The 10,914-nt window shown below is 62.4% G+C and overlaps 1 protein-coding gene across 1 annotated transcript; it reads left to right on the forward strand.

Moving 5' to 3' along the window:
* GJC2 (gap junction protein gamma 2) lies at window positions 51-9,947 on the forward strand. Its single transcript, NM_020435.4, has 2 exons — window positions 51-128; window positions 7,861-9,947. Exon 2 carries the CDS (start codon window positions 7,880-7,882, stop codon window positions 9,197-9,199), a length of 1,320 nt encoding a protein of 439 aa, NP_065168.2. The 5' UTR covers window positions 51-128; window positions 7,861-7,879; the 3' UTR covers window positions 9,200-9,947.

The raw sequence follows: 10,914 nt of genomic DNA on the forward strand, positions 1-10,914 counted from the left end.
TCCTCCAGCCCCCATTGTGCTTGGTGGTGAGAGGTGGCCCTGGCTCGGCCACACACCCTCGGGGAGGACCAGCATCCAAGCAGGTGGAAGGGCTCTGAGGGAGACTGGAATTTTCTGGCCTGGAGAAGGTAGGGTGCTGGGGTCCATGTATGTACCTCATGGGGCTGGGGGCTGTTGCCCCAGGAGACAGCCTCACGCTGTGCCCCTTGGCCTTGAGGCCCCGAAGGAGGGAGGGCTTCCTAGGGCCCAGCCATAGGAGGGTGCACTCCTTGCGCCTGCCACCCCCTCCTGGGCTCCGCTGCTCCACGCAGATGGTGGGGTGGCCCCCCCACTCCATGTCTGTGTCCTTCAGGCCCAGCTGCCTTCACCGCAGGGTGGGCACCAACCGGTGGGGTCTGCTCTGGGACAGCTGGCAAGCGGGAGGGGGGTGCCTTCAGTACCTCCCCCAGCAGCTGGGGCCCCTCAGGTAGTGATAGGGCTGGCCTCTGAAACACCAGCCAGCTGCATTGTGTCCAGGCCCAGTCCCCCACCCTCAGCGGCCACCTGGAGGTGAGGGGGCCAGCCTGCCCCTGGTATAGACAGACCTGGGGCCCTGCTCAGTCCCCTCCATAGAAGGCCACAAGCCACTAAGTTTGCACTGGGGCCCAGCCTAGGTCTGAAGCCCAGCAGACCCTGTGGTCAAGGATCCAACCCCAGTGCCTGTCAGTGCTGTGATTAACTGGGTGGAGGCCCCCCCGGGGTGCTGGGGCAGGCCCTCAGTGCAAGGAAGGGGCGGCGTGGCTGAGGAGGGGGAGGCCCACACCCCTCTGGGAGGGCGGAGCACCCCAGGGCTGCTGCGCAGGGAGGCCACAGCCCAGGCGCGGGGGCCCCCATCCCAGAGCTGGATGGCAGTGAGCCCAGGATTCCTGGCTGCTGGGCGTTCAGGAGGGAAGAGACGGGTTCGTGGATCCTGCGGGTGGAGGGCAGGGACAGCCTTAGGAGGCTGGGGTAATCATCACCCCCTCACTCCCAGTATGGATACCCGCCAGGGCTCGGTTTCTGGAGGGTGTGTGGCTCAGCTCCAGGCCTGCAACAGCCCTGGAGGCTGGCCTGGGGAGCTGCCCAGGCTTCAGCGATGACACACTCCCAGCCTGACCCAGGCCTAACTCGCCCCCTTGGTCCACCTCCAGAGGAGGAACAGCCCCTCACTTCTGGGCCTGACAGCTCTGTTCCTGCTTGGGACCCTGAGGGAGGGAACTCAAGAACAGGCTGCAGGAGGGGCCCACGCATTCACAGCGCCAACAACCCCAGGGAGGAGAGGGCTCCACGGGGGAGGAGGCACCAGCCTGGATGCTGCCTTGCCACCTGCACGTGTGCACGGCCCTGGCAAGGCCTGGGGATCCCACAGACTCATACCTCCACACCACGCTCCTCAGTGTCCCCTCACTCCCCTGACATTCCTGAGCGCCACACCCATGCTCTTGGGCTCCTGGGGGTCTGGTCAGTTCAGGAGCTGTGGCAGGCCATGTAAGGGGAGCCACCATGTGGGCAGGCACTTGGGGTCTTGGTGGGGGCACCTTGCTTTCCTGGGCCTGGTGGGGACTCCTGAGGGAGGCACGTGGTGAGGTTGAGTCTGAATAGGGAGGGTTCATGGCTATGTGTGAGAGTGAGTGTGTGAGCCCAGCTCCATGTTGAGCTCGAGCAGCAGTGTGCATGTGGCAGTGTGCACTGCTTGTGTGTGGGGGGGTGGAGGGAGGAGCGTGCCCTGTGTGTACATGTGAAGGATGCATGAGGATGGCTGGTGCCCACACCCAGTGGGGCCTACTGCTGCACAGGCAGGACAGTGAGGCCGGCCACAGAGCTGCTGGGGCAGAGTGGGCATGGAGGGAGGGTTCCAGGCCTCGGGCTTGGGTCCTAGGTGGCTGAGCTCTGCACCTCCCTCTGGACCAGGGCATCCAGAGGAGCATGGCTGAGGGTGCACTCGGGGCTGACCGTCCCAGGGCCTGGGCTGTCCAGGACAGGCAGCTGGGGGCTCAGGCAGGGACATGGAGGACAGGTAGTGGAGCTGCCACCACAGAGCTGAGCTCTGGGCATCAGGGTAGGGGGCTACGGCCTGTCAGCGGGTGAGGAGAAATTGAGGCCTGAGGATGGGTGAGTGCTGTAGCCCCCTCTGAGTGAGGACTGTCCCCACACAGGGCCCTGCAGTGGAGTGCAGGGGAAGGAGGGGACTGTGCCTGCAGGAGCTCCAGGGAAGTGGGACTGGGAATCTGCTTTGGACTGTGAGTGGACAAGCGACAGCACAGTGCCTGCCATGCGCTGGGGTACCATCATTTTCGGGGAAGGGAGGAGCCTGCCCCAGGGTCCCGCCTGGTGAACTGTGTGCGTGGGTGCCTGTCTGGTGGCTGCCCTAAACTGCAGAAAACACCCACCCTTCGCGGCCTGCCCTGGGAGGGCCTGGAGATGGAAGGAAATACCTGGGCCCCTGACCCTGTGCTACACCCAGCAGGGCGGGGCTCGTTCTGCAGTGCCTCAGGACCCTTGTTCAGACCCAGGATGAGCAGGAGCTTGATGGGGGAGGGGGCCCGGCTCTGACCGGTGTCCTGAGATACCAGGACACCAGGACACTGGTCAGAGCTGGCCCAGCCAGGTTTGCAGACAGGCAGCCTCAGCTTGGGCCTGCTTGCCCTGAAACCCTTCCCAGAGGTGGCCCCCACTGTGAGCCCCCATGGTGAGTCCCTTTGCTCTTGCTGCGCACCCCTTTGAAGCCCTTCCTGTGAGCCCCCGATGCCACCAGGGCGAGACCGCCCCCACTGTGAAGCCCCCTTTCACACCCTGGCCTAGTAGCGAGCCCCCATGAGACCCTGGTCCCCAGTATGAGAACCCTGTGAGTCCCCGGCCCTCCACCAATGCCCACATCCTCCTCTACTTCCCACAGCCTTCCCTGAGGCTGACCCTGCCTCACCACTCCCAGACCTGGGCCAGGCAGCGTCCTGGCTGGTGGCCTCCTGTGGTCACCCCCCTACCTCGCCCTGACACCTTACTAACCCCAGCAGCTGCCTCCTCCCAGACTCTGAAGCCCAAGGGTGCCTCCAGTTCTTTGGCCAAGCTGAAGCCTCTCCCCACCAATCCTCATTTTGGGCACCCTGGAGGTGTAGCTTTGGGGTGAGATCTCTTGGACTTGTGTGCACATAGTCTGCAAATCCCGGGCCTGGCTCCCTGGGGGCCAGCACCCCTCCCCTCTCCTCCCGTGGGCCTCCACCAAGCCCCTGCTGACAGCCTCATCCTGCAGCACTAGACAGTGCCCACCTCAGCTTGTCCCGCCTCTCTATCATGGTCCTTTCTTTAAGTAGGGGTTTATTTTACAGCACTTTCACAGAAAAGGGCCAAGGTGTGGATGGCTCATGCCTGTAATCCCAGCTCTTTGGGAGGCTGAGGCAGGATTGCTTGAGGCCAGGAGATCAAGGAGACGATGGTGAGTTATGATTGTGCGGCTGCACTCCAGCCTGGGCGACAGAGCGAGACCCCATCAAAAAAAAAAAAAAAAAGTAAATAGGGTCTGGCTCTGTCACCCAGGATTGAGTGCAGTGGTGTGATCTCGGCTCACTGCAATCTTTCCCTCCGGGGTTCAAGCGATTCTCCCACCTCAGCTTCCCGAGTAGCTAGAAGTACAAGCGCACCACCATGCCTGGCAAATTTTTGTATTAAGACCCCATTTCTCTTTTCTTTTTTTTTTTTTTTTTTTTGAGACAGCGTCTCACTCTGTTGCCCCAGCTAAGTACAGTGGTGCAATCTCGGCTCACTGCAACCTCCGCCTCCCAGGTTCAAGCGATTCTCCTGCCTCAGCCTCCTGAGTAGCTGGGACTACAGGCACGCGCCACCACGCCCGGCTAATTTTTGTATTTATAGTAGAGATGGGGTTTCACCATATTGGCCAGGCTGGTCTTGAACTCCTGACCTCATGACCCACCCACCTCAGCCTCACAAAGTGCTGGGATTACAGGCATGAGCCACCGTGCCCGGCTTAAGACCCCATTTCTTAAAAAATAAAAATAAAAATTGCCAGCATGGTGGCATGTGCCTGTAGTCCCAGCTACTCAGGAGGCCAAGGTGGGAGAATTGCTTGAGCTCAGTAAGATTTACAGAAATGCTGTGAGGATAGTGCAGAGTTCTTATAGACCTCACACCCAGTTTCCCCGTTGCTGACGTCTTGCATTAGCGTGACATGCTCCTCATAATGAATGGACCAATATGGATGAGCTGGGATTAACTGAGGTCCTTGCTGTATGCAGATGTCTTTGCCTCTCCCCTACAGCTCCTTTTCTGCCCCGCCATGGATCCCACATGGTGTCAGTCACCGTGTCTCCCTGGACTCCTCTTGGTTTCGGCAGCCTCCTGGGTCTCCTTGTATGGGGTGTCCTCACTGTCTGGATGAACACTGGCCGGATGTTCTGTAGCATGCCCCTTGGGTGGGATCCCTTTCACCCTCATGTTTCCTTATGAGTCTTCAGGGGGATGGGTTTTGGGAGGAATACCATGGAGTTGACGTGACCTTCCCATGAGATGCTGTGAAGCATCCACACCATTCACGATGCTTGTGATGACACCTTGGCCGCCTGGCCAGGGTTGGTGTAGGAGGCATGCTGCAGAGGCGCTCTCCCCCTCTCCCTCCCACACCCTCTGAAGCCAGGTTACCAGGTGCAGCCCACAGGTAGGGATGGGGGTCATGCTCCCCTCCAGTACAGAGTGTCCACATGGCTGCTTTGGATTGACTCTGCACAGAGGAGCTGTCTCCTGTCCCCCATTTGGTTATACATTCAGTCACGTACTTTGGCTTCTAATCTATGTCAGTCTGTAATCTGTAACACAAGACTACTTGATTTCTTTCACTGCTCAGAGGGATCCAGTCTCAGGCACTGGGTGCTCTACGTGCAGGTGCTGCTTGCACAGACTTCCTCTCTGACACTACAGTTTGCGCCAGGCTCTTCTGTACATTCCCAGCCCCAGCCCTCGGGTCTGCCAGTTCCCCACCAGGGGTTCCTGATTCCTGTGATTGGGAGTGGAGGTAGGAACCAAGGCCTGGGCCCCAGGTAGATTCTTGCTCCTAGGGTGTTTTTGCATTGAGGCCTTTGCAGGCGCCAGAGCAAAGGTGTGTGTCTGAACCCAGGTGCATCCACATAGCTGTATTTTCTATGAAACCGCCCACGTCTCTGTGAGACACCCTGTGGTCTCCAGCTGTGATCGTCATCACATGGAATAGTCACTAGCAGCATGGAAGGCGGTGACACAGCGACAGCCTCAGGGAAGGGCTGAACCTGTGTGTGTGCGCCTGTGCATGTGTGTGTGGCGAGGCCAGGTAGCAAAGGCTCCTGGTGGGAGTGGGCTCCAGCCAGTGTGGGAGCCGTGGGCAGAGCACACGAGGGGATATCTGGAGCCAGGCGTGGAATGGGGGCAGGGGACCTGGCACTAAGGCAGGTGAGGCCGCGGCATTCGCTCTGGTTAGGAGTCACAGGCAGGGCAGGAGTCCTGCTGGGTGGGCGTCCTAATGCTCCCCAGGCTTGCAGGCAAGGAGTGAAGTGCTTGAGGCCCTGCAGGCGGGGCCAGGCTCAGGATTGGCTGGGATAGGGAAGCTGCTCTGCAGAGCAGAGTGGCATTTGGGTGTGGCCCTCTGGCAGTGGCTGTGCTTGCTGGGCATCTGAGTGCCCATGTTGGGGGTGGCAGCAGGCCCAAGAGAGAATTACAGGCTGGAGGTGTGGATCTGGGAGTCCCCATAGGCGTGGCCCTGAGACCAGGACCCAGGTTCTTCCAGACCATTCCCAGGACCACTATGTGGGTGCAAGTGACACAGGCCCCCAGAGCTAAGTGCCAGCCCTCAGACGCCAGGGCACATCAGCCCAGGGCCGAGCCACAGTGGTCTCCAGAGCTGAGCCAATGGCGCCGTTTCCTCAGCTGAATCAAGGAAGCCACTCCGCAGTCAGCCACAACGGGAATGCTCACACCATGGGCACTGGCAGGCGCCATTACTGCAGGCTGCCCCCAGAGAGCCATTTGTTCAATATTGCCCCCACACAGCTGGGCAGGCTGGCCCTGGCACTGAAGGCCTCCTGCCCCATCTCTCCCTTGAGCCTGCTCTGTCTCAGGTTCCTGTCGGGCTGGAATCAGTGGGCCTTAGCCTGCTGTGATGGGTCAGGTGGGGAGGGAGGTGGGCCCTGCCTACTGGAGCCAGGGAGATAGGGGAGGTGGCCTCAGGGCTGGAGTGTGCCCGCCTGTGCATGTGTGTGCCTGATCACACGTGTGTGTGTGTGCACGGGTCTGTGTGCATGTGTGTGCATATATGTGTATGTGGTTGTGCATACGTATGTGCATGTGTGTGCATATGCACAAGTGTGTATGTGCCACTGTTTTCATGCATGTGCATCTGCATGTGAGTGCAAAGAAGCATGCCTGTGGATGTACACATACATCTGTTTGCATTAACCCTGTTTGCATGTGTGTCTGAGCATGCACGTGTACATGTGTATGCATGTGTGTGCATGGGTATCTGCATATGCATGTGCGTGTTCATGCATGTGCACGTGTGTGCATGTGTACACATGTGAATCTGTGGGTATGTATCTGAGTGTGTGTGCACATGTGAATGTGTGTGGCTCTGAGGGGTACTGCACAGATGTGAGGAAGCAGGGCCACTTCCCCAGGAACCCTGACTGCCCCCTCTTCCTGCCCCGGGTGGGGAGGCCTCAGCTGCATAAAGAGGCCGGGAGCCTCACCAGCGACTGCTGCTGGTCCCACACCTGCCGCTGCTGCCTCCCAGGCCAGGTACCGGGAGGGGGCCAGAGGCGGAGGGAGCTAAGGGGTCTCCTGCCTCAGCGACCCAGGAGCAGGTACTGGCCCTGGGGCAACCGCCAGCAGAGGGTGGGCAGGGGAGCTGCAGGAGCTCTCCTTCTTTGGAGCACAGGCCCTGCTGCACAGCCCTTTCCTGGGCACTTGCCCACCTTGGGCTTGGCTGGTCTGCGGCATAGCTGTCTCTGAGGGTCGCAGGTGCTGAGTGTGGCCTCACATCACTGGGTCTATAACCTCGCTGGACACCGTCCCTCCTGGACGGACGACTGGCTTCATCCTGACCCCAGCTAGAGATGGTCTGGGTTGAGACCATGGAGGACCAGGAACCTAGACTGGGCGGGCGGAGCCCTGGGACCCTGGGCACCTGAGAAGGGCAGCGGGACCAGCCGGGGGCTGGAGGGAGGATGGAGGATTTTGTGGAGGTGGAGGGACCCCGACGCCCCTGTCCAGGGTGTGGAGGGACCCCGACGCCCCTGTCCAGGGTGTGGAGGGAGGCAGAGCAGGGCCTCTGGGGGCCGAGGGGCTATGGGGATTGTGGACTGGTGGCACTTTGGGGTCTGGGAGCTGATGGTGGTGCAGGCACGGGGGGCTGTGAAGGACTGAGGGCTGATGGGGCTGCAGGGGCTTGGGGGCTAGGGAGCTGGAGGGGCCAGGAGGGATTGAGTGGCTAGGCAGGCTGGGGAGACCCTTTGGATGCTGAAACTCTGTGGGACCCTCCCCAACAACCTGGATGCGGCTGGGGCTGGGTTGGTGGCCATGGGTGCAGTGGACACTGAGACCACCAGTCCCCACACACTTGAGTGGTGCTTGCCTCAGTGTCCCCATCTGCCTCATGAAGGCAACTCACCCAGCTGGGGCCCTGCATCTGCACGAGCAGGGGCCGGATCAGGTGGGGGCTTCCACTTCCGTTTAAGGCGGTAAGCTCCACGTCATTGACTGTGTAAGCAGAGAGGGGCCAGCTGCGAGGCAAGCCTGGAGCCCCGGCTCTGAGCGCCGCGGGCTCCTAAGTGCAGGCCCCTGGCTGACCCCTACCCCGCCCCACAGGACCCGCCCGCCCGCCCCTATGACCAACATGAGCTGGAGCTTCCTGACGCGGCTGCTGGAGGAGATCCACAACCACTCCACCTTCGTGGGCAAGGTGTGGCTCACGGTGCTGGTGGTCTTCCGCATCGTGCTGACGGCTGTGGGCGGCGAGGCCATCTACTCGGACGAGCAGGCCAAGTTCACTTGCAACACGCGGCAGCCAGGCTGCGACAACGTCTGCTATGACGCCTTCGCGCCCCTGTCGCACGTGCGCTTCTGGGTCTTCCAGATTGTGGTCATCTCCACGCCCTCGGTCATGTACCTGGGCTACGCCGTGCACCGCCTGGCCCGTGCGTCTGAGCAGGAGCGGCGCCGCGCCCTCCGCCGCCGCCCGGGGCCACGCCGCGCGCCCCGAGCGCACCTGCCGCCCCCGCACGCCGGCTGGCCTGAGCCCGCCGACCTGGGCGAGGAGGAGCCCATGCTGGGCCTGGGCGAGGAGGAGGAGGAGGAGGAGACGGGGGCAGCCGAGGGCGCCGGCGAGGAAGCGGAGGAGGCAGGCGCGGAGGAGGCGTGCACTAAGGCGGTCGGCGCTGACGGCAAGGCGGCAGGGACCCCGGGCCCGACCGGGCAACACGATGGGCGGAGGCGCATCCAGCGGGAGGGCCTGATGCGCGTGTACGTGGCCCAGCTGGTGGCCAGGGCAGCTTTCGAGGTGGCCTTCCTGGTGGGCCAGTACCTGCTGTACGGCTTCGAGGTGCGACCGTTCTTTCCCTGCAGCCGCCAGCCCTGCCCGCACGTGGTGGACTGCTTCGTGTCGCGCCCTACTGAAAAGACGGTCTTCCTGCTGGTTATGTACGTGGTCAGCTGCCTGTGCCTGCTGCTCAACCTCTGTGAGATGGCCCACCTGGGCTTGGGCAGCGCGCAGGACGCGGTGCGCGGCCGCCGCGGCCCCCCGGCCTCCGCCCCCGCCCCCGCGCCGCGGCCCCCGCCCTGCGCCTTCCCTGCGGCGGCCGCTGGCTTGGCCTGCCCGCCCGACTACAGCCTGGTGGTGCGGGCGGCCGAGCGCGCTCGGGCGCATGACCAGAACCTGGCAAACCTGGCCCTGCAGGCGCTGCGCGACGGGGCAGCGGCTGGGGACCGCGACCGGGACAGTTCGCCGTGCGTCGGCCTCCCTGCGGCCTCCCGGGGGCCCCCCAGAGCAGGCGCCCCCGCGTCCCGGACGGGCAGTGCTACCTCTGCGGGCACTGTCGGGGAGCAGGGCCGGCCCGGCACCCACGAGCGGCCAGGAGCCAAGCCCAGGGCTGGCTCCGAGAAGGGCAGTGCCAGCAGCAGGGACGGGAAGACCACCGTGTGGATCTGAGGGCGCTGGCTTGCGAGCTGGGCCAGGGAGGAGGAGGGTTGGGGGGCTCCGGTGGAAACCTGCGACCCCTTCTCCTCAGCCTTCTCCTTAGCCGGTGGCCTCAGGCAGACTCTGCCCAGAGGGGCAGCCAGGCTGCTCAGGGAAGGGGCTGAAAGCGGCAGAGGAGTGCCCTGGCTTGGTCACCACTGGGGCCAAGGTGGGGTGGAGAGAGGCCTAGGAGCCAGAAAGGGCCCTCTGCTGTGGTCTGAACCCCAGGGGGAGTGGGGCATTGACTCCACCCCTGTCCTGAGCTGGAATAGGTCCTCTGGGATGCCAGCTCTCCCCTTTGTGCTTCCCTGCAGCAACCCATGGAGGGCCCAGGGTGCCTGGTATGGGCATCAGTTGGTGGGGGTGCGGGGGTGCGTGTCCCCATTCCCTGCAACAGCAAATGGGGCTCCTTCTTCAGCCCTCCCCTTCCCAGCCCCAAACTGAGACAGACTGGGAGCTGGGAGCCTGGGGTGGACAGGACCATACCCTCTTTGAGCTTCTGCGATGCCGGCCTTCCGTTCCTCTGGGAGGCTTGAAGTTCTGCAAAGATGTTGATATGCCTTGCAGCTTGGACCCAATGGGTGGTGGTCAGGGCCTGGGGGCTTGGCCATGCTGGGGGAATGGGGCTCTGGGTTCCTGCCTGTGGCCTGTCTGTCCTCCTCCCTAATTCAGACCCAGCCTCAAGAGGAAAGGGAGTAAAATAAAACTAACTTGTTTATAACCTTGTGTGTGCATGTGTATGCATGTGCACGTGTGGCTATGTGTGTGACTGCATGCACATGTATGTGCATTGTGTGCATGTCTGGGTGTATGCTTATATGTGTATGCATGGGTGTGTGTGCATGGCTACCACATGGGGAGACATGGCTTAGCTCCAGGCTGGCTGGGAGAGGAGACCCCTCCCCAGGGACTGGCAGGGGAGTATGGTCACAGGCGAGCCCCTGTAGCTTGTCAGACAACACTCGGGGCCTGCTCGGTGCCAGGCAGCGTGCCGGGGGCAGGGGTGGGTGGGGCAGGGTGGAGTGCACTGATGGTGAGAAAGAAAGAAAACACTCAGAGCCTCAGGTTGGGCCGCAGCTCAGTGGATGGAGGGCGGCTGTCTCAGGCCCCGTCATGACCAGGACGTCGGCCAGAGCCTGCAGGGGTGGCTTTGGCGAGGGGCAGGGGGGCTCATTAGCCCCTGGAGCACACTCCGGGTGACTGGCTACCCCCCAGCCTCCCTTAGGCCTGGTGCAGCCTGGCCGGCTGCCCCTCCTGGGCTGCACACCCCTCTCTCTGTGGTGTCCCTCAGCCAAGACTCAAGCCCAGGCTGAGCCCTGAGTCTCACCGAAGCCCAGCTCCGGGCAGATGCCAACTGCAAGCTGAGTCCCTCTCCTTTCTGGGGCTTGCCTGGCTGACCTCTGGCCCCATGTGAGCCCTGACTCAGGGAGCCACGGACAGAAATGCCGAAAGTGCAGCCTCAGGGAAGAAAAGCAAACACCAACCCCAACAGGTGTCCACTCCAGTGGGGACACACCAGGAGCCTCTCCAAGACAGGAAGGGTTTGGGGCTGTGCTGCTGGCGGTGCCGTCACGGGGGAGGCCAGGTCCCTGTGGTGGGGGCCGCGGTGTCCAGCCATGCTGGGCAACTGTGCATGGCTCACCCTTCCTCCACCTTTGGTTCTGTTCAGGCCTTCACCTGATCAGACG

The sequence above is a fragment of the Homo sapiens genome, chromosome 1 (assembly GCF_000001405.40).
Source record: "Homo sapiens chromosome 1, GRCh38.p14 Primary Assembly".
Classification (NCBI taxonomy): Eukaryota; Metazoa; Chordata; class Mammalia; order Primates; family Hominidae; genus Homo; species Homo sapiens.